Source organism: Homo sapiens, chromosome 6, assembly GCF_000001405.40.
Source record: "Homo sapiens chromosome 6, GRCh38.p14 Primary Assembly".
Taxonomy (NCBI): Eukaryota; Metazoa; Chordata; class Mammalia; order Primates; family Hominidae; genus Homo; species Homo sapiens.
In genome coordinates this window covers 127,784,157-127,808,793 of record NC_000006.12, presented here as the reverse complement: position 1 = coordinate 127,808,793, position 24,637 = coordinate 127,784,157, and the positions used below count along the sequence as shown (strand labels likewise).

The 24,637-nt window shown below is 37.8% G+C and overlaps 1 protein-coding gene across 12 annotated transcripts in view; it reads left to right on the top strand.

Moving 5' to 3' along the window:
* THEMIS (thymocyte selection associated) overlaps positions 1–24,637 on the top strand; it is a 221,968-nt gene that overhangs the window by 109,802 nt on the left and 87,529 nt on the right. For 3 of the 12 annotated variants that reach the window (XM_047418767.1, XM_047418765.1, XM_047418763.1), the window contains one exon: positions 1,462–24,637. This exon is cut by the window's right edge and continues 24,283 nt beyond it. The exons of 8 other annotated variants lie outside the window; for them this stretch is intronic. In XM_047418767.1, the coding sequence (XP_047274723.1) occupies positions 1,462–1,653 (192 nt within the window). In that variant the 3' untranslated portion in view covers positions 1,654–24,637. The remainder of the gene's footprint in view (positions 1–1,461) is intronic. One more of the 12 variants, NM_001164685.2, reaches the window with a different exon arrangement.

Here is a 24,637-nt window from a genome sequence, read left to right as displayed (position 1 = left end):
AGCTTTAGCAATACCTAAAAAGAAAAAAAAATAGATTGGTGTAGAAACTTTAGAATTATAATTTCAGTTTGGGCAGGGACACGAGTGGGGGTATGGTTACCAACAGGATTATAGCCTACTTCAAGACCTATGAGATTTTATGTGAAATAATATTATAGTTGTTCTTTAAATGTGTTAGTTAACTGTTTATAAGGATAATGTATGGAATCTAAACAAAGGAGTGGGAATAGGCCAGGGGAATCCTCAAAATTTTCTTTAGGTTTATGACATAATGCAGAAATAATGTCTTTAGGATCTGTGCATCTGAATTTTAATCTGATGGAAACAATATTATAAAGTGACTAAATAAATGAAGCTGGGCCTGAAATTGTGTTCTAAATAGAAATGTTGTCAGGTAGATTCTCCTTCCTTGAAGGTTGGTTTGTATGTTAGAAGTGGTTTCAGATAGTTCAGAAGAACATATACTCACTGGGGTTTTTGCCTGTCGTGGATATATATAGCTACGACTCCTGAGTGCCACACAGGAGAAATGCAACTTCTGTATTCTGATGAAAGGGTCTATAACAAGACAGAAAACAAACCTTTGGTTGAAAGATGAGATATTCCATGTCTTCAGAGACTGCAGCTGGGACCAGAAATCTTGTATTTCACTAACTCTGTTTGGCCATTTAATGCCCAAGTGTCCACTTTGCTGCCTGAGTTTCTAGATTTCTGTCGGACAAGAACACCCATAGGAGACATTAAGGCAAAGAGCAAGGGAGGCAGTAATGGCAAGGTACTGTGAAATGAGCAGAAAAAAATCCTGCACCAGAATTAGAGTGAGGGCTGAAAAAGGCAGAAGGAAAGCAATGGTTCCTGGGGAGTGCACAGAGAACACTTCAGCAGCTGCTGCTGGTGCTAAATTGTCACTTCTGATCTGGTTTGACAGTTACAGTGGCTGAAATGTGTTAGAGAAATCCACGTTACTGGGCTAAATCTAGATCATTAGAGAGTAGTATTATACCCACTTGTTTGTTATCAATAGGGTTTGGTCACAAACAATGTGACTTGTTTTTGTTTTTGTTAACCTGATGTAGTATAAATACATTAAGAGTGTTTGAATTTGTAGCTGACTCTGAGCTTCTGAACACTCACACCTTTCTACTCATGGTAGGTCCTTTTCGTGTAATATAGAAGCTGTAGTACTGATTTCCCTCTGAATAGGGAAGATTACTGTTAGAGAGTTTTTCAAAGACCCAACACAATGAAGATAGAATACGGACATATTTAAATATTGGGTTTTTGAATCTGAAAATAAGAGAAATAAAGGAAACTTTTGAACTTCCTTTAAAAAATTGACAAATTTTGACTGTGAGATACAATTTTAGCTTTTTTGACTGTGAGATACAATTTTAGCTTTTTTGACTGTGAGATACAATTTTAGCTTTTTTTTTTTTAATGAATTCTCACTCTGTTGCCTAGGCTGGAGTGCAATGGCGTGATCTTGGCTCGCTGCAACCTCTGCCTCCCGGGTTCAAGCAATTCTCTGCCTCAGCCTCCCACGTAGCTGGGATTACAGGCACCCCCCACCACGTCCAGGTAATTTTTGTATTTTTAGTAGAGATGGGGTTTCACCATCTTGGCCAGGCTGGTCTTGAACTCCTGACCTTGTGATCCACCCACCTGGGCCTCCCAAAGTGCTGGGATTACAGGCATGAGCCACTGCACCTAGCCAATGTTAGCATTTTTTTGGTAGCTATTTGAGCTTTCCTTAGAGTAAGACATGTACAGATTAATAAATCATGGTTTTTGAGTTGCCAGAGGTCTGTTGTCTAGTAAATGGCATGGGCTATAAACAGACAACTAAAGAAGTGAAAAAGACGGGAGAAGAGGGCAAAGGATGAATAAAGGAAGTGCTGGGTTGAAAGTTAGCCAAACTTGAGTTATAGCTGAAACCTCGAAGGTACAAATCTGTGCCCAATGGCACATACGGAATATTTACAAGCTCTTTTTGTGCTTCTGGAATGGGAGAGGAGTGATCTGAATTTTAGTTTTGCTCTAGGCATGACATGTACTGTGTTGATACTTCTATCTGGATAGCTGAGTTGGTATAATTGAGTTTTAAATGAAAAGGAATTGGTTAAACTAAAATATTCGCAAATATCACCTGATTTTAGGGAAATTTCAAGAAACAATGAACAAGTCTTCATACTAATAATAAAATACTGATTTTCTCTGGATAATTTATGGCTAAAGAACATGGTTTTCATTATGGCATGATTGAAGTACACTTTCAATTGGAAATATGTGAAGAAACTAAAATTTTGGCCCTCTCTGAACTTTTTAACAACTGAGAATGTTCTCACCTGGGGGCAATGATGAAAAACATTAGCTAATACTGTCCCCCACTCCTTATCTATAGTGTCAAGAACAAAAATACCACCAAATATGTGATGTCATATTTTCGGTGTTACTGAGTATTACTTTTTTAGCAGAAAAAAATGTGAATTTATAAAATTTATTTATTTTCTCAATAGATTAGCAAAAAGCTTGAGCAAATTTGGACTAAATTATTTTGCACTAGATTTCTGGCCTTTAAGAAAATTAGAATAGTTTTCATTTACTAAAATGTCCACTACATGGAAATTCCTGTTTGAAATGATAGCAATAACAGAAAAATGATCAGTTCATTGCACAGTATGTATTAAGTGAGAGCATTTGAATTGCCAATTTCCTATAATCTCTATAGAAATTTTAGTGCCTGTAATCACTAAAATTGAGTGTGGGCTCACTAGATATTTATGTTCCTTTCCTTGAGCTTATTACCTTCAGTTTTTCTTTAAAAAAAAAAATCAAAAGAGCAGTTGAAGAAAAGTAGAGGAGATAAGTTCCAGTTGGCTATGCAGTTTTGAAACAGATTTGTCTGAATTTTCCATTACTATATTTGTCAATTGTGAATTTATTTTAGAATAAAACCTTGCCTAAAAATAAATTGATAACACATAAGCTATATATTTGAGCAAATAAGTTTTGCTACAATTCCCCAGTTCCTTGCAAGTTAACCATTACTTTTAATCTTCGGTGATGTTTTCATTGATATCAGACCTACATCAATAAATATATTTATGCTTTGCTTCCCAAACCAAATTTTCCTGGATAAATATTAGGACAGAAAATGAGCACAAGATGGCTATGAAAGAATGCAATAAAATAGGCTTCCAAAAATCAGTATTTTTTCCCAAACTTTGAAAAGTAAAAAACGTAAGAAGAAAAAGATTTGTCTTAGAAATAGAAGAGAGTAGAAAGTGAAAATGAACTTTAAATTTAAGAGACCGGAGGGCCCATAAATACTTTAAAAATTCATAGACAAAGAAAAGATTCATGCATGCGTTATTTAAGGAAAAACTCTCAGCAAACCTTTTATAGCCGTAAACTTTCTCATACACTTTGTCCAGAATCTAACTTCAGTATAATCATGATGTCTTAGAAACTTTCTAAGCAATACTTAATTAAGATACACTTCTAATAGGACAAGTTGCTTTTAGCCTCTTTGTAAGAGGTTAAAATATCTCTAATGCTCTCATTTGAGATATTTACCATTGGTCTCCTTTGAGATATTTACCACAAGCCAATTACACAGACGATTTTAGATCTCATGAGAACAAAATAAGAGAGAATTCTATAAAATCAGAAGGCTGTTGACTACAAAATTAGACAAACAAGAATCAAACTGTACATTAAAGGCCACAAGAAATGTATAATAAATCCACTGTTATTTATGAAGGTGCACACAAAATTAAAAAGGCTGATTATAAAATTATGAAGTCACACAATATATAAAAGGAATAAATATTTGTTTTTTTTAGTGTAACTGAAAAGATACCAATATTATTCTGACTTGTGACATTACGCTCATTCAGATCACTAAACTTTACATACCATTTGTCCTTAATAAAAGTTTGTTGTTGTTATCAAATGCTTTTAAAAGTTGTAATTAATGTCTTAAAAGTATGCAATTACCAGTTGTGAAATAGGATAAAACACAAAGTCATGTAAGACGTGTTTTCTCAATTGTTATCCAAGGCTGAGAACCACCCTATCCAAGCTATTCTCTTCATTGGTTCTGATTTCAGCTTTTCTCCTGAGGTAAAATCATTTCTGTATTTTCCATTCATACTAGACTCTGCTTCAACCAAATTCTCACAATGTTGTCAGACATCTTGTGTTCAATAATAAAATATCCAAAGGTCTATGATCCAGACTGATCTCAATCTTTTGTAATAAAAACACCAGCTGCTCATTACTGAGCTGGCGCTATACCAGGTGCTTACATGTATTAATCTCTTATTTAATCTTCCACATTGCTCCATGAGATGGATGCTGTGATCATCTCTATTTTGCAGATAAGGTAATTTAGGCTAAGGGGTATATAAGGTGTGTCATGGTTACCAATGATACTCAGGTTGCCAGATTTTATGGTCAATCCTCAGTCCTCATATTATTTGAATACTAGGTACTATTTGGCACAGTTAAACACTACCTACTTTTTAAAATCCTTTCTTAGAATTCTGCAATATTATGCCTTCCTGATTTCTTTATACTGTAGTGGTTGTATTTTTCTCTCATCTTTTTTGGTAGCTCTTCTCTGATCTCCCTTAACTCTTAATGTTCAAGTGCCTTTGAGCTCAGTCTTTGGTCTCTTTTCTATATATGTCTACTTTTAAAATTCCTATCCACACACACAAATTTCTTATTTTATGCATATAAAATGGCTGTCAGTAGAATTATTCATGTATATGGATTCATAAAGGAAAGCAACCAGAAATGGTGTCATATTTTTCTGTTAAAATCTGCTTAAATATGTGTAAATGTCATTTTTTAAGGAGAGTTCAGCTCCTGGGAGATGCTAGCTGTATCACTATGTCTGTTCTGTAGCAGTTACAGTTTTCAACTATACCTCTGGAAGAGATTGAAGGTCAGGGAAAGTGATCAGGTAAGGAAAGAGCCTTCCTACCGACATGCTATTCTGATGAATGTAGGCTTATCATGCTTAGGACTTTTCTTTCCTGATCCACTGATGTGAAGAAAGTTGAGAATATCTTGAACTCTCTATGAGACATTACAACTTTAGCTGATGAACTTTGGCATCAGCAAAAACTCTTTAGTAACAATTCAGGATTTAGCTGAAATAAGTTTCAGGAAGTAGAACTAAGAATAGGAGTAGAACTTAGGACTATTAATTTGAATACCATATTGAGTAGGTGATAATATAAGATCCAGAGAGAATATGAAGTCTTCTCTTCATTAAGGTAGATAGGGATGTATAACAGGAAAAGATTAATAAAGGGTTAATGTGTTCAGGAGCACAGAATAATGAACACTTTAATAATAAGCAAAGAAAAATTTAGAAAAAAAAGAAAGCAGATCAGTGTTTTCCTAGAGAGATAAGTAGGCATAACACTGCCTACTCAATGACAAATGACAAGAGGAACATTTTCGGGTGATGAAAAGGTTCTAAAACTGGATTATGATAATGGTTGCACAGATCTATAAATGTATTAAAATCATAGCGCTGTACACTTAAAATCATCAATCATACCTGAATACAGCCATTAAAATATTCTAATTATAGCATAGATAATCAATTCAAACAGAGGCAGGGAGACCAGTTAGGAAGCTAAAACAATAATATAAGAGAGAGGATGCCTGCCTCTGTGAATGGAAGACACATATTCAAGAGAATTTTAGCATATGGTAGGTGTAGGATGTATGGTTGATAAATTGTAGAAAATAAGAAAGGTACAAGATAAGGAAAGTATCCAGATTTCTAACATAAGCATCAGAATGGATGGTGGTGAAATTGATTAAAACACATTCAGAAAATTCATTAAAATAAAAAACACAGAACATAGGTAGAAGAATAGCACATTATTCAGGGTTCTCCACAGGGACAGAACATTTCCCTTTCCACAATGCACAGTTACCCTGGTAAAAGGCTAGAGGTCTCCTTGGGGAAGGATGGGAGAAAGATTCACTGCATGAATTGTCGGTAATGTAGTGGGGTCCTTCCACAAGGAGTCCTGGCCTCCCCTTCATTCAAGGGGTTCTGGGTCTGTAAACTGGCTCAAGTCTGGAAATTGATTGAAGGGCCATGATTCTCTATTTTTTATAACTCAAATTAGTCTTTTGCCCATTCGACCTAGAAGTTTTCTGTTTGTATAATTTAAGTAGGAATGCAGTAGGCTTCCTATCAAATTCACTTCTAGGAACACTGTGATTAATTAGCCAATGCCAGAGCTCTACACACATCAGATTATTCTGATTGCCTCTTTGCCTCTGCTGTCCATTATGGTAGCTACGCCCACCTTTGCTTTGATGTTCAGTGCTGCCACTTGGCCCCTGCCACCTCAGGATCCAATTATTCCTACTACATTTAAATTTTGTAGTTGAGTGACAGTGGTTCCCTCGTTAGATCTGACATACAGAAAAGCGCAATTACAGGGCTCTTCAGAGATGCAGGTGCTGCCCTCATAAATCTATTTTGCAAGGCATTGGTCAAGGGTATATCTTCTGGACCCTCCCAGCTGGGATGAGTAGGTCTAAAGTGACTAATCCACTCCACCATCCCAATCTCCCTAAGCCTTTGGATCTTTTCCTTTACATTAAACCAAGGAAGATCAGGCATTTCCAACTTGCTCACAGTGGGCCATCTTTTAATCTATATTTCACCTAACCAAGCAAATAAACTCTTAGAACCTTTTTTAACTCCCCGAACTGCAACATTAAATGCAGAGTTCCTACTTAGTGGGCCCAAATCAACAAATTCAGGGTGATCCAACTGTATGTTCCTTCCACCATTATCCCACACCCTTAATATCCATTCCCATGCCTGTTCTCCAGATTTCTCTTTATATAAATTAGAGAACTCAAGCAGTTCTTTTCCCGTGTAGTGCATCTCCTCATGGGTCACACTCTCAACCTCACCTCTAGCGCCCCACCAGGACTTTTGTCTAGTTGTAGGTCTAGAAGCACACAGGGGTGTTGGGGGTGGCTCCTGAGCAGAATCAACATTATCTTGCCTGGCAACCGCCTCAGGGGAGGCCATCACCGTTGCCTCAGGCAGCGCAGGGTTTATCTCCTCAGACAAAGGTGGAAAGGCTGATGGCAGCATGGGTTGAGGAGGGGATGTTGTCACTACTGGGGATGGGGAAGCTGTTTCTTCTGGCAAAAAAGCAAAAAAGGTTCATGAGAGTTTCGAAACTCAGTGTCTCCAGCTTCTTCAGGGTCCTCCCACTCGTCCTCATTCCAAGTTGCAGGGTCCCATTCTTTTCCAGTCAATACCCTCACTTTAACAGTAGACACCTGGCAAGGGTGTGCATGTACCTTTTGTTGCAGGTCAGCCACTCACATGATAAGAGCTTGTGTCTATTTTTCCACAATTTCAGCTCTTTCTGTACAGGAGACTCAGGGCAATCTTAGCAGATCTGAGGCTTGATATCTGCTTCTGAAGCCAGGAGATAGAATCCTCGATTTCATTCATCACTTTGCCCACTGAACTTAGGAGCAACCAAGGAGCTTCATTATATTCTCTACGTATGGTCAAAGGTTCCTTGGTTCTCCACATATGGTCAAAGGTATTATGTATAGAGTCACTAAACTCCTTGCCTCTCATGAGCATGTATCAGGAATGTCAAATGCATTTATTTTGCATAACTCTCTAAACAGTTCATGCCAAGGACTCAGTGTTCTCCACACTATTAGAAGTAGAGTCCTTAGCATTTTTTGATCTAATCATATTATGCAGCCAACTCCAGAAACCCCAAAACCAACGAAAGAACTTCATCCTTAATATTCTGTTCCTCTTCCTCTAGAACCACTCCTGTTACCAAAATCTATATTAGTCAGGGTTCTCTACAGGGACAGAACTAATGGAATATAGGTCCCACAATAGGCCATCTTCAGGCTGAGGAGCAAGGAGAGCCAGTCCAATTCCAAAACTGAAGAACTTGGAGTCCGATGTTCAAGGGCAGGAAGCATCCAGCACAGGAGAAAGATGTAGGCTGGGAAGCTAGGTCAGTCTCCCCTTTCCCATTTTTCTGCCTCCTTATATTCTGCTGCACTCTAAGCTGATTTGATTGTGTCCACTCAGATTAAGGGTGGGTCTGCCTTTCCCAGCCCACTGACTCAAACGTTAACCTCCTTTGGCAACACCCTCACAGACACACCCAGAATGAATACTTTGTGTCCTTCAATCCAATCAAGTTAACACTCAGTATTAACCAACGCAGATGGTTTTACAGAAGCAAGGTTACAGTTTAGTTTGGTTTGAAATTTCTGAGTTGAGATGCCTAGTATGATGTTTACCATGGGTCTGTACTTTAGGAAAGAAATCTAAGCTAGGGATGATGATTCAAGTGTCAACAAATATGTGATAAATAATGTCCTTTGAGAAGGTGAGATGAAGCTAGAGTGGGTAGCCCATGAGAGAAGAAGATGGAATTTTTTTTCTGAGGAAGTCCAAAATATAAGGAACAAAGGAAATATATTAAAAAATCTAAAATATAAGAACCAGAGGGCTTTATTAGCTGAGTGCCAACAATGAATCAGTCACTATTCTGTTTTCTACATGCATCAACTCATTTAGTCCTCATACAAAACTAGTGAAATTAATTCCCTAATTATTATTATCCCAATTTTACAGATGAGAAAAAGCTCATCAACAATGGATAACTTTCCAAGACCACATGTATGGATTATTGCTTTTCAGGTATAAATAATGAACAACATTTTAAGGGACTCAGTACTATGAAGAACGTTTGTGATTTTAGAATCAAAATTCAAGCCATGGCTAATTGATGCTTTTTTCCCCTAATAAAAATTGTGAACATCATTATGACTAAATTGGTCACTTATAACTTGTCAAGGAAAAATTTTCTGAAATACATCATCCTCAATTGGCTCCTTCTTCGGGAATATGACTTGTTATCATGGTATGGGTAAAGGATGGTAGAGAATCAAGAACTACAAATAATGTACAAATGTGAGATCTCTATCTCTATCAATTGCACTTATTTAATTGGCCAGAGAAAATCATAGTCCGTGTGTATGTTCGAGTGTGAAAGTGTAACCTTCCCTTAAGCCTGAAAGTAGAGGGAAACTGGGTACTAGTGAACAATATAAGAACTATTACATGGTCCAGAAAGAAAAGAAAGAAGGAAAGAAAGAAAAAAAGAAAGAAAGAAAGAAAGAAAGAAAGAAAGATAGAAAGAAAGAAAGAAAGAAAGAGAAAGAAAGAAAGAAAGATTACCAATGGGGTTCTCATTTCTTATCTTTGCAAATGCCACCACCATCTACTGACTTGCCTAAACCAAATATGTAGGAACAGTCCTTCCTTTTTTATTCCTGTTTGCATTTGTCAATCATCAAATCCTGTAGATTCTATTTCTTTGACATCTCTTGAATATATATACTTCCTTACTTCAGGTCTTCATCATTTCTTGTCTGGATTATTGAGACCATCTCTTAACTAGTCTTTTTGTTTTTGATCACCACACTTAAATTTATTATCCACATTACTGACAATTTGATAATTCTAAAAAGAAAATCTTACCATGTATCTCTCTTGCTGAGAACGTGTTGTGGCTTTCTTTTCAATAGTTTATCGCCTGTCCATTATTTATTTCTCAAGCCTTTCTACCTTCATACCTTGCCTCACGTTTATACATTTAGTATTTGGCTATATTAAATTTTTGCAGCCTGCAAATACTTTATTCTCTTCTGAGTCTTTAATTTTTCTTTTTTCTTTCTTTTTTTTTTTTTTTTTGAGACGGAGTCTCGCTCTGTCGCCCAGGCTGGACTGCAGTGGCACAATCTCAGCTCACTGCAAGCTCCGCCTCCCGGGTTCACGCCATTCTCCTGCCTCAGCCTCCCGAGTAGCTGGGACTACAGGCGCCCGCCACCACGCCCAGCTAATTTTTTGTATTTTTTTAGTAGAGACAGGGTTTCACCGTTTTAGCCAGGATGGTCTCGATCTCCTGACCTCGTGATCCGCCCGCCTCGGCCTCCCAAAGTGCTGGGATTACAGGCGTGAGCCACCGCGCCCGGCCGTCTTTAATTTTTCAATTGGAATTTTGTTACTTTTTTAAACAACCATTTATTGGGGGCTCACTAACATTTAAGTAACTAAATAGTTCTCATTCAATTCTTTCCATATCCCTATGAGTGTTATTAATATTCCCAAGACATGAACACTGAAGCTCAGAGAATAATTATGAATCTTATTTTAAATGTGTGATCATAGTTCATGAAAGATCTGAAGAAAGAGAACTACTACTCAGAGTGTAAGCTAGAATTCGAAACCATCCTTTATTTAGACCAGCGTGGCACATGTATACATATGTAACTAACCTGCACAATGTGCACATGTACCCTAAAACTTAAAGTATAATAATAAAAGAAAAAAAAAATTCTGTTTCTTAACTACTTAGTCATTTTCAGTGATCTTTTATTTTTTTGAACTAATATCACAACTTTAAAATAAGATCCACTGTTATGTGTTTGCATATAAATATACACTTGTGGTTTTAAGAGTAAGGCACGCTATTTTAGAAAAGAGAAAAATGAAAGAGGAAAATAAAATCAGGAGCACTTTCATCATATTAATATTTTGTACTGTCAATATTATATTTCCGTTATTCATACACATATAGACTCAGACACACATACGTGCATGATTCTGTATTCATCTGTGTCTGTGATAAAGTGACGTATGAACACATATGCGTATGTACACATGTGTGTAGTCTAACAGATTGTTTCACTGACTCTTCATCCTGGGAACCCAAAGCATGAGAAACCAAAGCCTGAGAACAAAATGCCTGTGAACCCCCACATTTTAAAGTGAGCTGCAGAACTGTGTATGCAGGACTTGGAAGGTGAAGGTCCTATAATTGATGCCAGCAGTATTAGCTAGTCTCCCATCTTGGAAGCAAGGAGCAAGTGTTCTTTAAGTGCTTTTCTTTCACCTCAGATAAATTAGAGAAACATTGAGAAGTTAGCAAAATAAAGAGAGAAGATTGTTTTACAGATGGTTGTTAACCATATCCTGTGAATTTTTAGTCCCTGGCATTATGGGTAAGAGATGTTGGGTTCTTCTCCCTCACTTCAAGTTATGTGATGGGATCTTCAGGTGATCCATTTGGAGGTCTTGCCAATGAGCTGTAGGAGTTGGAAGAAAATAGGAGCTGGCCTTTGACCCATATCTGCAAAATCTAAAGGTAAGAGGCTGTGACTAGAGCTTCCCTTTGCCTGGGGTAAGTTATTTTGAAAGAAAACTGCACTTATGTCAATAGCAGAATGAAGGTGTGGGTTCTCTGAAGACAAGGTGTGAACTTGAGAGATTGAAAGGGACCTTGACTAGTGCATATATTTCCTGGAGTAGAAGCACTGAGGGTGGTAGTGGTACATTCTTAGCCTTAGTCAAAGAAACTTGTGTGGTTCTCAATGGGATGGTTTCCCATTAGTCTGAAGAAGTGACCTATGAAAAAAAGGGTTAGTTTTTGACTCCTGCCATTTCAACATTATAAAGATATTAGTGATTCAAGAGTGTATATCCTTTCTTCTTATTCCACTTTCTCCCAAGGCCCTAAGCTGGAGAAGTCAAAAAAGAAAGGTTAGTGCACGGATGCAGGAGTTGAAGAGAGCACATCATTAAGCAGCCAAACATACTTGCTTCTCTTCTGTAGACTTAAAAAACTCAAGTGGGATTAAGCTACAGCAGGAAGAAGCCTTGACTTAGAGAAGGATTCTGAGCTTTGTTAGTATGCTAAACTGAGCTGGAGTCAAGTGGATTTTTATGAACCATGTACTCACTAAAGACTATGGGATTTCCCCATGATTTTATGCAGAGTTAGAATAACCACTAGTTCACAGAGATTTGAAGGGATATAAAACAGTGAGAATCAAGGTGGCTCTTGTGTAGACACTATAAAGTTCAGCTTACTCAATAAATTGCTGATGAGTATGCATGTATATGTGTTCTGCATACCAAACATGGGTATATACTGTATATACCCATGTATTTATGTGTGCGTGTCTATACATATTAGTGTTTCTGTGTACGTATGTGCAATGCAATTATCTCCAGTCATTCTTTGAATGTCAAATTTTGCTTTAATATCTAAGTAAAATCAAATAAGCTCTCAATTTCATATAGTTTTGGCAATGCTTCCTCCATTATTTCCAAAAAGTTATGTGGGATCTTTATGTTTTCTCCTTTTGTCTCCTTTGCTTTCTTGCTCATCACTCTTCTTTAGTTTTCAATCACCTTGGATCACTTCAATACAGGCATTCCGACTGCATAAGGTTGATCTGGTCTTTAGTGCCTCAAGCTATCAATTAAATTTGTCCTTTTTTATTTTTTAAGGAACCACTAAAAACGCACTTGTAGGTGAACATAAATTTGCTGAAGGTTTGGTGATAATGGCTAGGAACAGGAAGTAAAAGTTCTAATCCCTAATTTCTGATGGCCCTTAACTCTAAACCTTAACCCACTTCAAGGTTTTTCATCTCACAAAATCAATGCTTTTCTACCCAGGATCAACCCACATTAGTTTTTTGCTTAATAATGATCATAATAATAATAAATCAAATGCATTAAAATGCTCATTCTCATATTTAGTTCTATACTTTTAATCTTAGAAAGGTTAACTTGCCTTGAAATCAGATCCACTATAATGTATTCTAAATTTTTATTTTCTTATTTAACTTTTTAATCTGTGAAAAAATTTATTTTGCATATAGTATGGAGTGAGGATCAAACTATTTTCACAAATGGTTAGTGTATTTCCCCAGTACCACATATTGACTAAACAATCCTTTACCTGTCTTTTCTGGAAGCAGTTTCTCAACTTTTTACTCTGTGTCTTTGATTTACCTAATTGTCTTAAACCAGTATCAGTTACTTACAATGTAGGACTTTCTAGTACTTCCTAATATGGATATGTATTAGGTTGGCGCAAAAGCAATTTCAGTGTCAAGAACTGCAATTACTTTTGCACCAACTTAATTTTTTTCTTCTTCTTCTTAGTATTAATCTTTTTCTTATCAGTAATTACTTAGATTCTCAGCTTCCTGTACTTTCAAATGAGCCTGTAAAACACTTTATTAACTTCTAAAAAAAGTCTGGTGGCCGGGCGCGGTGGCTCACGCCTGTAATCCCAGCACTTTGGGAGGCCGAGGCGGGCAGATCACGAGGTCAGGAGATCGAGACCGTCCTGGCTAACAAGGTGAAACCCCATCTTTACTAAAAATACAAAAAATTAGCCGGGTGTGGTGGCAGGCACCTGTAGTCTCAGCGACTCAGGAGGCTGAGGCAGGAGAATGGCATGAACCCATGAGGCAGAGCTTGCAGTGAGCCGAGATCGTGCCACTGCACTCCAGCCTGGGTGACAGAGCAAGACTCCATCTCAAAAAATAATAATAATAATAATACAAATCTGGTGAGATTTTTGATTGCAATTATATTAAGCATATTAATTTGGGAGAATTTGAATTTTTATGATACTTGGTTTTCCGATCTTGGCAAATGGTTTTCTATTCTATTTAGCTAAATCTTCTCATGAAAGCCATGTGTATGTTTCTAACAATTTCTGGTGTACTTCTGACATATCTATAAACTCGTGGGAGATATCAGGTCATCTCCTTGAGCATTAGGAACTTTCAATGCTATGGAACTGTCTATGGTACAGAATTTATATTCTCACATCTGAATAAAACCAAAGATTATGTATTTTAACATGATGAACATCTGCTTTCCGTCAAGTCTTTCTTTCTGCAAATATCTGTTGGTTATTATATTTTACATACTGTTTTTTTGTGTTACATTTTCATCAGTAATAAAACACCTCCGTAAATGGTCTGATACTCCTCTTAATGTTTACTTTGTCTTGGAAGTAAATGATACAGCTAAATGATCAGGTAAATGTTAGAGCATTAAGAGTGCTATAAAAATAGAGCAAGAGGTAAGGACTAAGAGTTTAAGGGGTGTAGAATAATTTTTGAAAGAATATCAAGGTGTACCTTACTGAGAAGATGACATTTGTACAAAGACATGAATTGGTAAGATGAGATGTGCATAGTGAGAGGAAATGTTCCAGACAGAGGAAAGAGATAATAAACACATTAAGGCAGGACTGTGTCTAATGTGTTCAAGACAGGCAGAGACAGGCATAGTGGCACAGTCCCAGCTACTCAGGGTGCTGAAGTAGAAGACCAGCATGGACAACATACTAAGACCCTGTATTAAATAAAAATGATTCAACCAGCAGGTCAGAAGGCTGAAATATTGCGACTGAAACTGATAAAAGGAGATGACATCAGAGAGGAAATTTGGGAAGCAGATTGTGTAGGTCCTTGAGGTTGTTGTAGTAATCTTGGCTTAATTTTTCATGAAAGATGAAACAATTAGAGAATTGAGTGGAGAAATGACATAAACTGACTTACATCTTAAAGGGCTCATTTTGGCTTTTGTGTTGAGGTTAGACACTAGTGGAGCAAGAATGGAAACAGAAAGTCCAGTTAGAAGAACATTGCCGTCTTAATATTGCTATGGGCTAGGAAGATAGCAATGGAGATAATAAGAAATGGTTAATTCTACATCTGCTTTAAGTGCAAAGCCAAAAGTGTTTCTTTCTGGTTGCATTTTCCCTCTTACTCTCATTAAGTAATCTTCATTTTATAACTTCTCCAATTCTGACTTAAAATTTAGCTTATTTCTACCTGGGTTCTGTTATTAACAGAATGATCTTCTTTTAGGCTTTAAATACGATGCTTTTTTGGGGGAAAATGTTGAAAGTTTAATCTGGAGTTAGATAACTATAGTGGGAAAGCCAACAACAACTTTATCTGGAAATTTGGAGAATATGGTTCTCGCCCTGGCTCTGTAAATAGTTTGCTCTGTGGTCTGGGATAATCTTAGTGTCCTTGCTTATAAAATGAGGTTAGAGTAAATGATCAGTACTATTTCTTCTAGTTAAATATTCTATCAATCTGTGATTCTGTACTTATGCACTGGCCAGTTAAGTGTTGAATAATACATTTTAAACAAAAAAATTCAGTTGAGTTCCTTGAAATATCTACAGGTTGCTTTGCTATAGCTGAAAAATTTTAAAGACAGGAAACAGGAAAGACCCCAAGTGAGCCTGCGGTATTTTGAGGGATGGTAGTCTTCTTGGTGCATTCCCTGTTTCTTTGTCCTTGGCACCCAAATAGAAGTCCTTGTCTGTAATGCTTGATTTCATGGGGCCTGCTTTCTCTTCTTAATCCTGCATGTAGTAGAAACTTGGTTCCTGTTTTTATCTTTTCTTACCTTCTCTGGGAGGATTTTCCCAGGAACTGCCTCTGTTCAGAATCACAACTCCTCCACTTCAGTCCTGCACTTCCAAAACCTGATTTACTGTGGTTGTGTCATTCTATCAGATATGCACATGGAGGTTCCCCACCAGCTTTTTAATCCATTTGATCTTAAAGTTTTCCCTTATTTGTCACTCTTGTTGAGATTCCTCTTCATGGCTGCCAAATCCGTCCCAATGTTTCCTCAACTGGGACCCATTGTCTGCTTGTAGCTTGTCCCTGTTCTCTCCAGGATCACACAATGCTTTTGATTCTGTGCAATAGTGCAGACTATTCCTTCCTGAAACTAACTCAATTTGTTTTCGAACAAATATCACAATATTGTTTCCCTTATTTCAAGGGGTTACATTTGTGACTCTATTTGCCGTTGAGAAATGAGAATTTAGATGTTGAGAGGCTGTGGAATGAAAGGTGGAAATGGCTTGTTTTTGCAAATGGAAAGAAATCTACCCCCATTTAGCTAAAAGCACAAGACTTTTCTAATCAAGCATTTGACATCATGACCAGGCTTGGGAAAAAGTGTACCTGTTCACTTATAATTGGTTCTGCTCACAGAAGTGCTTTCTCATTGTCTGTGCAGCTACAGGAAATATGGTTAGTAAAAGCACATCTCAGCCTGATTGAAGCTGTTCTTTAAAGCTCTGCCAGACCATGCTGCAAAACTGTTATTTCCTATTATGAAAACTAAATCTCGAATCATGGTTAAAAGGCAGTCTGTTTTGGGGAGAGTGGCCTGTATAGGCAGGCAGTAATTCAGATTTGATTGGCAACATGAGTTTTTCAGGGAATGGTTAAAAATGAGGAGCATTTTGAAGGCCAGAAACACAATCCCAAATGATGATTCTCAGAATTTTCCTAACATCAGGTTATTGGTAAACCATATTACAAAATTTTAAAATCATCTCTTTCCCAGAAACTATAATAATAAAACATAATGGTTTTCTGTATTTCTATTTGACCCATGTAACAGAACCCTGTGAGATAGGTATCATTATCACCATTTTATAGCTGAGAAAACTCACCCAAAGTTCCAAGGTTTACAGTGTCTTGGCCGTCCTGTCTCTCTGGTCTCTTGCCAACAGAACACGGGTACTTATGGTCCCATGATGCCTGCTGTAAAAGCTATTTAAGAGTATCTTTTTCAACTTCACTGTGCTTTATTTCCTTACGTGAATACCATGTTTACTGTTTCTATCATTGACAGAGCAATACTGATGGCAGCGGCGGCCCACCTTGAGTGGCCGCTGCATGACACTGGCTACAATGGGGGAGGCACAGCCAGGGCTGAGTGCTCCATAGAACTGGTGGGAGCCGGGAACAGGTGGAAGCCATGCCCCCTTCCAAGTTGGAGGAGCTGGAGCCCTGCCCTCCCAGGGGCAGCTGTGGCAGAGCAGCCAGCTGTGGACTCAGGCATCACTGCACTCTCAGGGCCCCAGGAAACACCCTTGCCCCTTCAGGCTCAAAAGTGCCTGCTCTCGCTGCCTGACCTCTGCCCATTCCCAGTGCCCACTCCAATTTCAGAGCAAAGTTGTGGCCAAGCCTGGGGGCTGTCACGACTCGGCTGGGTGTGTGCACGCTTGGGGCAGCACTGAAACACCAGCCCCCTATCACCTCAGCCTCCTCCAGATTTTGGGTGCTCACAAACATGGGAGGGAGGGTGAGGTGGGGGCTAAGGGTGGCTCAGCGCAGTCTTGCAGGCACCACTTGGCACAAAGAGCCAGGGCACCATAGGCACCATGGAGAGCAGGTTAATGGTGGTAGGATGCAAACAGGCTCCTGGGCAGAAAGGAGCAGATCCCCAGTAAAGCCCCATCTTCAGGCCAGGGACGGCCTGAAGCCTGCCGGAGGGCTGCCATGGAGTGAGAACTTAATGGAGCTTGCTCTGGGGCCTCCCATGACTGCTCACGGGCCGATCAGCACCTACTTTCTCCCCTCTTAAGCCCATAAAAATCTTGGACTCAGCCAGACTTGAGCAGATGATGGGATGGCCTGCCTACAGAAAGGAACTACCCATTGTGGGTCTCCTGTCTCCTGAGAGCTGAGTGGACAACGGGACAATCAGCCTGCAGAAAGGAGCTACCCACTGTGGGTCTCCTTTCTGCTGACAGCTGAACAGATATTGGGATGACCTGCCTATGGAGAGGAGCTAACCACTGTGGGTCTCCTCTGAGCTGTTCTGTTGCTCAATAAAGTACCTCTTCACCTTGCTCACCCTCTACTTGTCTGCATAACTCATTCTTCCTGGATGCAGTACAAGAACTTGGGACCTGCCGAATGGTGGGGCTGAAAGAGATGTAACACAAACAGGGCTGAAATACACCCCCTGCTTGCCACATGGCAGGCAACAAGAAAAAGATAAGAAAGAAGGAGAGAAGAGTTTCAGCCCTTCAGACAACCCAGACCTGGGAGCACCCTGAGCCAGGGCTGTGATGCCCTTTTTGGGGTTCTGTGGTTCCTGGCATCTCCAAGTTTCTGGGTGCCACCACATTCCCTGGTGCCAGCCATGGAAGCTACTTGCAGTGTGCCTCATCCAGCCACAGCCTTGCAGGGAGCTGGTGCCTGGCACTGCCCACCCTGCTGCAGCCAGAGTGCCTGGCTGTGGGCAGTGGCTGGACCCCATGCTTGCTCATTCACACAATCCTCACCGCTCTGTGCCTGGCTCACCCTTGGCAGGCATGGGATCCAGGTTTGTCACGCAAGCTGAGTTCAGGCTGCCAGGCCGAGTGGGCACATCAAGCACAGTGGGCCAAAGCAAAATTCAGACAAAGGCACCACCGACCACAGAGGTTTCTGGACAGAAAAGCGACACCTGAAGGATCCTATGAGAAGAGCATCTTCCTTACAGAATGCTTGTAAAGACAAAATTGGCAGAAATAATGTATGTCAAAAAATATATATCAAAAGAAAATTAAGATGACCTCACATAAAAGATAATTTAATTTTCTTGTTTCATATGTAAATGTCATTATTTAAAATAAAGTTGTTTCTTCTAAGTGAAAGGAATTGTGATCAGGTATATCAATAAAAAGTTTAGAAGAAAGTGCATTTTTATTTTCATTCAACAATTGTGTTGCTGAAACTGTTGGAGAGACACAGGTTTATACCAGTTTCCTAGCTGTCTCTATAGTTCTGTGTGCTATAGCTCACAGCTTGGTTTAGCTGGTTTGGCCATAATTGGTGTATAGGAATGCTTGTGATTTTTGCACATTGATTTTGTATCCTGAGATTTACTGAAGTTGCTTATCAGCTTAAGGACATTTTGGGATGAGACAATGGGGTTTTCTAAATATTCAATCATGTCATCTGCAAACAGAGACAATTTGGCTTTCTCTCTTCCTGTCTGAGTACGCTTTATATCTTTCTCTTGCTCGATTGCCCTGGCCAGAACTTCCAATACTATGTTGGATAGGAGTGGTGAGACAGGGCATCCTTGTCTTGTGCTGGTTTTCAAAGGGAATACTTCCAGCTTTTGCCCATGCAATATGATATTGGCTGTGGGTTTGTCATAAATGGCTCTTATTATTTTGAGATATGTTCCATCAATACCTAGTTTACTGAGAGTTTTTAGCATGAAGGGGTGTTGAGTTATATCGAGGGCCTTTTTTTGCATCTACTGAGAGAATCATGTGTTTTTTGTCATTGGTTCTGTTTATGTGATTGATTACGTTTATTGATTTGCGTGTGTTGAACCAGCCTTGCATCCCAGGGATGAAGCCGACTTGATGGTGGTGGATAAGCTTTTTGATATGCTGCTGGATTTGGTTTGCCAGTATTATGTTGAGGATTTTTGTATTGATGTTCATCAGGAATATTGGCCTGAAATTTTCTTTTTTTGTTGTTTTTCTGCCAGGTTTTGGTATCAGGATGATGCTGGTCTCTGAAACTGAGTTAGGAAGAAGTCCCTCTTTTTCTATTGTTTGGAATAGTTTCATAAAGAATGGTACCAGCTCTTCTTTGTACCTCTAGTAGAATTCAGCTGTGAATCCATCTGGTCCTAGGCTTTTTTTGATTGGTAAGCTATTAATTACTGCCTTAATTTCAGAACCTGTAATCGATCTATTCAGGGATTCAACTTCTTCCTGGTTTAGTCTTGGGAGGGTGTATGTGTCCAGGAATTTATCAATTTCTTCTAGATTTTCTAGTTTATTTGCATAGAGGTGTTTATAGTATTCTCTGATAGTAGTTTGTATTTTTATGGGATGAGTGGAGATATCCCCTTTATCATTTTTTATTGTGTCTATTTGATTCTTCTCTCTTCTTTATTAGTCTGGCTAGTGGTCTATCTATTTTGTTAATCTTTTCAAAAAATCAGCTCCTGTATTAATTGATTTTTTGAAGGGTTTTTCATGTCTCTGTCTTCTTCAGTTCTGCTCTGATCTTAGTTATTTCTTGTCTTATGCTAGCTTTTGAACTTGTTTGCTCATGCTTCTCTAGTTCTTTTAATTGTGATGTTACGGTGTCGATTTTACATCTTTCTTGCTTTCTCCTGTGGGCATTTAGTCCTATAAATTTCACTCTAAACACTACTTTAGCTGTGTCCCAGAGATTATGGTATGTTTTTACTATATTAAGGTAAATAAAGTTCATTGTATTTATGTAATATTTTGTCTTCCTGGAGAGTAGGGAGGGGTTAGTGAGGATTAAATGAAATAGCCTTGTCTGAGTAGAATTTATACACTGTAATAATGTATTGCCTCTTTAATGATGAAAGAAATAATCTCTGCTGATGTGATCATTTTTGTTGTGCCTTTTCAAGAAAATATATGGGGCTAAAATGTTAAAATAACTTATTTTCAAGTAGAGTACTATAATCTGAAAATACAATTGAGTACCTTCTTACTGTCCGTAAATGAATACTCTCAAAAGTTCTGATAGTTTTAATTAAGGTAATAATTATGAATGTCATTCATTTGTTTAATGAAAATGTCAATATTGGCAAATAAAGCATTTTAATTTTTTCCTGTGGGATAAGAAGCTTCCTTTGTATTCATCCCTCAACCTTTCATTATTCAATACCAAAAGCTGTAGAGTAAATCAGGGAAAGTCACTAGGTTGGTGTCAATCCCTGGATTTGATTATTGAGAGGCAATTCTCCATGAAATATTTTCAGATTACCACACAGTCCAATCTTTTTGAGGAAAGACCACTGGCAAACTTGGTTAAAGTAGGGTTGAATAGCAAATGTATCTTGGAAGATAGAGATAGTAGGTTGCTTCAGAGAGGTTTAGAGACGTCTCCCCTGTAAACATTTGCTAACATCGCAAAATAAAAGACTCTCCCTCACCTGAGGAAAGGATGGGTCAATGTGCCAGCCAAACTCCAAGTGTCATAGTTTGTGAGTCCATGGTGGTATACTCAACTCTTGTCTGTGCAGGATAACATTAGTCTCTCATAGCCTTCTCAGTGCTAAGATGCTCTGTGAATATTCAACTATCTGTTTTCTAATCTAGACACTTTGTGTTTATTACCAGAAGAGCATCTATTTATCTATCTATCTATCTATCTATCTATCTATCTATCTATATCTATCTATCTATCTATCTATCTATCTATATCTGTCTATCTCTATCTATCTATCTATCTATCTATCTATCTATCTACCTATCACTGTGGCAGGCTGACTTTTTAGCTTATAAATATAGTTAGTAGACTTAATTTTAGATAATACAGATGTCATTCCTTTATTAACCTCATGCCATGCTGATGTTTGTAATGATGAGAAACGAGAATCATTTTATGGTATCGTTTATCAAGATATTGTATATATCATGTGTTCTCTATGATACATTCAAAAAACAGATCCCAGTAATAATATGTTTACAGTATGGAGTTCTTTACACACACATACTTTCAGGACAGTTGAGATAGAGAGATAAAAGCATTTCCCTGGTGCCAGTGGTAGGTTTGAATTTCTTTGAAACATATCAAGATAAGGTGATGCCATGCAAAGAACATGGTGACATGGGTGCAGCAGAGTGTCAGCTAGGAGCAGACTAGATTCATCTTGGCGGACCTAGTGGACTAGTGATATCTGAGGCCTTTTATGTGCATGAGTAGATCTATGCAAGTTTTCCAGCTAAAGGAAGAAGGTGATGTGTGCATGTGTTTGTGTGTGTGTGTGTGTGTGCGTGCACACATGTGCATGCTAGAGTGCAGGAAAGAGACAAAGATAAACAGGAAAGTTGGGAAAATTTAGAATATATTAAAAAAAACCCTATATCTTGCTTCCTGTTTGCCACAATTAGCATCACAGCCTCTGGAAGATGCAATGGTTAATAATTGCTGCTGATTCTTTGATATGGCTTTTCCTGGGGACAGTAGGGAGTCAGCTTGAGTAAAGACAAATCCTAGAAAGGGTGCTTTTTCAGGGAGATTCCTAACAGCTAACATAGTGGCAATGCTCTTGGAATCGAGTTTTTTTAGGAGCTCCAAACCCAGTGTCCCCCTCTTTGGTGGTTGCAAAGTTGCTTTTTCTCACAGCTACTGTGATTGCAAGGCTGCTGGTTTTCAAGTCTGTCATGCAGCTGAGAAGAATTGCTATAGGACAATTCAAAACGTCACAAAGCTCACATTCTTATCAAGATTTAGTCACTTTTCTTAAAAAAAAGATTTCTTTTTCGTTAATTTCTAGAGTTCTGCAAAAGTTGATTCTGACAAATTTTGCTAGTGGTCATTGCCTTTATGCTGAAATAGATTTTCAGAAGTCCTTAGCCTGCCATTTCTAACTGTTGGTCTTGGGCAAATTATTTAATCTCCCTTTTTCTCAATTTTCTAGTTCATAAAACAAGCATAGTAACATGCCCTAGAGAATTGTTGTGAGGCTTAAGAAAGCTCATTCAAGAAAACCACTTAGAATAGTACTTGGTACCTAATGAATACTCAACCAACACTGGCTGTCAGTATCAGTATATTCATTTTAAATACTTAAGTTTAGATATAAACAAACCTACCTTTTATTTTTCCCAAATTTTGGTTCTATGCTCACTTTTTATTTTTCTGAATTGGTTTATCTGGCTACAAAGTTTTACAGATTCTATTTCACAACGTTTCAGACCATAGCAGTTGATAATGTTTTACATTCCATTACACAGACTATTCCCTGAAGCTTTTTGGAACAATAACAGATGGCCAAGCTGTTGAAGATATTATGATTCTACTTACTGTTCAAATATGTAGGCTAGAACAGGGTAATTTTGCTTTCTGTTACCTGAGAAAAATAAGAATGCCACATTTATTTATGTACTTTTATCCATGTGGTTTATAAAATTTCACTTTTTGAGAGGATTGTCCCAGGGTGCAAATAGTGCAAAATATCTTATTGAATACCTAGAGCTATCAAAGTCATTAATGTTTTATAAAATATTCAAACTTTTAATAATAAATAAAGCTGCTTCCTAAAAAGATCTCCTACTAAGAGGGAGTACATATGAGAAGATGAGGTACTTTCAGTGCCTTAAATGTCAGCAAACTTGAGCCTGTCAGAAAAAGAAAATGGGAATTTCATAAATTGGTATAATATGTAATTACAATGGCTAATTCAAAATATTTAACAATAATTAATTATGAAAAATAAGTAGTCTTTTGCCCTCTTTTCTAAATGCTATTAATATTATTTATGATAATATTAAGCATAGTACTCATATAATGAGTCACTTCATTAAAGATATTCTTAGGTTTTTTTGGTCTATATTTGTAGTATTCTTAAGGCTCTGATTTTTGAATAAGGAGGAAAAGATGGCTAACCTGGTTCACCAGTTGTTCTTTAACTTTAAAAGTGAACTGAGATATTTTAACGATTATATTTTTATAATCCTTTTATATGGTAAAGATTAAACCAAATAAGATCTAAAGAAGATAAATATAGTCCACACAGAACTCTCTAGTTAAATGTATCAATCTGGAGAAAGTATTGTTTTTTTTTTTTTAAATTTTATTATTATTATACTTTAAGTTTTAGGGTACATGTGCACAACGTGCAGGTTTGTTACATATGTATACATGTGCCATGTTGGTGTGCTGCAGAAAGTATTGTTTCTTAAGGATCAAAATTTCAATTCAGTTTTATGCAATTGTTCCTGTATACCATGGATATCAGATAGATAGAAAGACAGATAGATAGATGACAGGTAGATAGGTGATAAATAGATAGATGATAGATAGATAGATAGATAGATAGATAGATAAGATAGATAATAGGTAGGTAGGTAGATAATAGATTAGGTAGGTAGACAATAGGTAGGTAGATAATAGATTAGGTAGGTAGACAATAGGTAGGTAGATAATAGATTAGGTAGGTAGATAGATGACAGGTAAGTAGGTAGATAGATGATAGGTAGATAGATAAGTAGGTAGGTAGGTAGGTAGAAAGATATTGATAGGTAGATAGATAGATAGATAATAGATAGATAGATAGATAGATAGATAGATAGATAGATAGATAGATAGATAGATAGTGTGACTGCCTTTGCTATCTGAAGATTTAGAATTAGAATGCCTGTATAGATAAACCTTATGAAAGTTAGGGCTCTTTCAGTTGTTAGAGATAGAAATCTCCTCTCAAACAGGCCTAAGTTTTTTTAAAAAGTACCCATGTGTACATATAATCTGAGAAGTCCAGGGGTTGAGCTCTTTCAGAAGTGCTGGATTAAAGAGCTCACCACAGACTCCATCTCAGCTCTACCTCATCTGGGTAGTACATTCACAGTTCCATTACAGTGCTCAGTATCTTCAGAGCCATGACATTAAAAAACAAAAGAAACATTTCTGCTTCAGCAGTGACTCAAACAGAAGCCACAGAACTGAGTTTTGTTTCCCCTGATTGGCCTGCTTTGTGTCGTGTATGAATCCCTGAATTGTGTGTGTGTGAGAGGATTTAATGTGCTGATGGACCAGTCAAGATTACACATTTGTTCTGGAGATAGGTATGTACTTCATTCAGTTCAGGCAGACTGAGAAGCAAGAGGGATATAGCCTAAATGAGAGTCTGGACTTTGCTGGAAAAAAGGGAATTTTTTTTTTACATATACTTTAAGTTCTGGGATACATCTGCAAAACATGCAGGTTTGTTACATAGGTATACATGTGTCATAGTGATCTGCTGCACCCATCAGCCCATCATCTACATTAGGTATTCTCCTAATGCTATCCCTCCCCTAGCCCTCCACTCACCAACAGGCCCTGGTGTGTGATGTTCCCCTCCGTCTGTCCATGTGTTCTCATTGTTCAACTCCCACTTATGAGTGACAAT